The sequence below is a fragment of the Homo sapiens genome, chromosome 5 (genome assembly GCF_000001405.40).
Source record: "Homo sapiens chromosome 5, GRCh38.p14 Primary Assembly".
Lineage (NCBI taxonomy): Eukaryota > Metazoa > Chordata > Mammalia > Primates > Hominidae > Homo > Homo sapiens.
Window position 1 is genome coordinate 173,979,631 of NC_000005.10, and position 2,426 is coordinate 173,982,056.

At 43.2% G+C, this 2,426-nt stretch overlaps 1 annotated feature.

Annotated features, from left to right (window-relative positions):
• Nucleotides 1,724–2,225: an enhancer, noted in NCBI's record as "H3K27ac hESC enhancer chr5:173408357-173408858 (GRCh37/hg19 assembly coordinates)". NCBI's record gives its function as "activates a minimal SCP1, AML or CMV promoter by ChIP-STARR-seq in naive and primed H9 embryonic stem cells {active_cell/tissue: H9 hESC(naive and primed)}" and the evidence as "EXISTENCE:reporter gene assay evidence [ECO:0000049][PMID:30033119]".

Here is a 2,426-nt window from a genome sequence, read left to right on the forward strand (position 1 = left end):
CTTTTGGTGTCCATTCGCGTGGAATATCTTTTTCCACTCCTTTACCTTAAGTTTATGTGAGTCCTTATGTATTAGGTGAGTCTCTTGAAGACAGTAGATACTTGGTTGGTTAATTCTTACCCATTCTGCCATTCTGTATCTTTTATTGGAGCATTTAGGCTATTTACATTCAGTGTTAATATTGGGGTGTGAGGTACTATTCTATTCATTATGCTAGTTGTTGCCTGAATACCTTGGTTTTTCTTTGTGTTACTGTTTATAGGCCCTGTGAGATTTATGCTTTAAGGAGGTTCTATTTTGGCATATTTTGAGGTTTTGTTTCAAGATTTAGAACTCCTTTTTGTACTTCTTGTACTGCTGGCTTGGTAGTGGCAAATTCTCTTTGCATTTGTTTGTCTGAAAAATACCTTTCCTTCATTTATGAAGCTTAGTTTTGCCGGATACAAAATTCTTGGCTGATATTTGTTTCGTTTAAGGAGGCTAAAGGTAGGAAGGACCCCAATCCCTTCTAGCTTGTAGGGTTTCTGCTGAGAAATCTGCTGTTAATCTGATAGGTTTCCCTTTGTAGGTTACCTGATGCTTTTTGCCTCACAGCACTTAAGATTATTTCCTTCATCGTGACTTTAGATAACCTGATGATTATGTGCCTAGGTGATCTTTTTGCGATGAATTTCTCAAGTGTTCTTTGAGCTTCTTGTATTTGGATGTCTAGATCCCTGGCAAGGCCAGGGAAGTTTTCCTTGATTATTCCCTCAAATATGTTTTCCAAACTTTTGGATTTCTCTTCTTCCTCGGGAACACCAATTATTCTTAGATTTGGTCATTTAACATCAGCTCAAACTTCTTGGAGGCTTTGTCCAGTTTTAAAGAATTCTTTTTTCTTTGTTTTTGTCAGATTGGGTTAATTTGAAAGCCCTATCTTCGAGTTCTGAAGTTCTTTCTCCTACTTGTTTGATTCTCTTGTTGAGACTTTCCAGTGGATTTTGCATTTCTTTGTGTCTTTCATTTCCAGAAGCTGTGATTGTTTTTTATTTATGCTATTTCTCTGGAGATTTTTTTATCCATATCTTGTATTATTTAAAGAATTTTTTTAAGTTGGTTTTCACCTTTCTTTGGTGCCTCCTTGAGTAGCTCAGTAATTGACCTTCTGAATTCTTTTTCTGGCAATTCAGAGATTTCTTCTTGGTTTGGATCCATTGCTGGTGAGTTAGTGTGACCTTTGGGGGGCATTAAAAAACTCTGTTTTGTCATATGACCAGAATTGTTTTTCTGGTTCCTTCTTACTTGAGTAGACTATGTCAAAGGGAAGATATGGGGCTCAAGGGCTGCTGTTCAGATTCTTTGGTCCCATGGACCCTTAATGTGGTATTCTCTTCTCTCCCCTAGGGATGGGGCTTTCTGAGAGCCACACTGCAGTAAATGTTTTTGCTCTTCTGGGTCTAGCCACCCAGCTGAGCTACCAGGCTCAGTGTCTGCAAAGAGTCCTGTGATGTGATCCATCTTCAAGTCTCTCAGCTGTGGATACCAGCTCCTGCTCTGGTGAGGGTCCTTGGTGAGGATCCTTAGCTGTAGTTTTGTTTAGTGTGCTAGCTTTCTTGAATGCTGGTTGCATTAGCAGTGAAGTTGTCACATGGACAGACTCAAGACTTCTGGTTATCCAGGATGTTGCAGACAGTGGAATTAGCTGTTGTCTTCTCCCTTCTTGGAGAAGGGTTTTTATGAGTTGCCATGACAGCATGAGTTGGTTGGCCACCAGCCAGGAGGTGGCACTTTCAAGACAGCATCAGCTGTAGTAGTATGGGGAGAATACAAGCTTGCCCTAAACACCTGGATAAGTATTCGGGTTTCTCAGGCGATGGGCAGGGTCAAAGAGATCCCACGAGTTAAGGTCTTTTGTCTTCAGCTACCAGGGTGAGTAGAGAAAAACAATCAGGTGGGGGCAGGGCTGGTGTGTCTGAGCTTAAAGCTTTTCTTGGGCAGGGGCTTGCTGTGGCTGCTGTGGGGATTGAGTGTAGGTCTCAGGCCAATGGAGTTATGTTCCCAGGGGGATTAAGGCTACCTCTGCCGCATCATACAGGTTGCCAGGGAAGTCAGGGAAAGCTGGCCATGACAGGCCTCAGCTCCCACGCAGCCAGCAAGGCCAGTCTCACTCCCTCCATGCCCCACCAACAACACACAAAGTTTATATCCAGTCATCCAGTGAGCAGGGCTGAGATCTTGCCCCAGACTACAAGCCTCTCCACTAAGAAAACAAGCAGGGCTTTGAGGCTTTGCCCTTCTCTGCTTGCTGCAGCTTCTGTGCTCACATCTGCACTTCCCATTTGCCCTCCTCCTCCCTGCTTGATTCTGCCCTGGAAAATTCATGCTTGGTCAAAATTATGACAAAGTTCAGCTGGATGTTTCCTTCTCCCTGTGGTCCTTCCCCA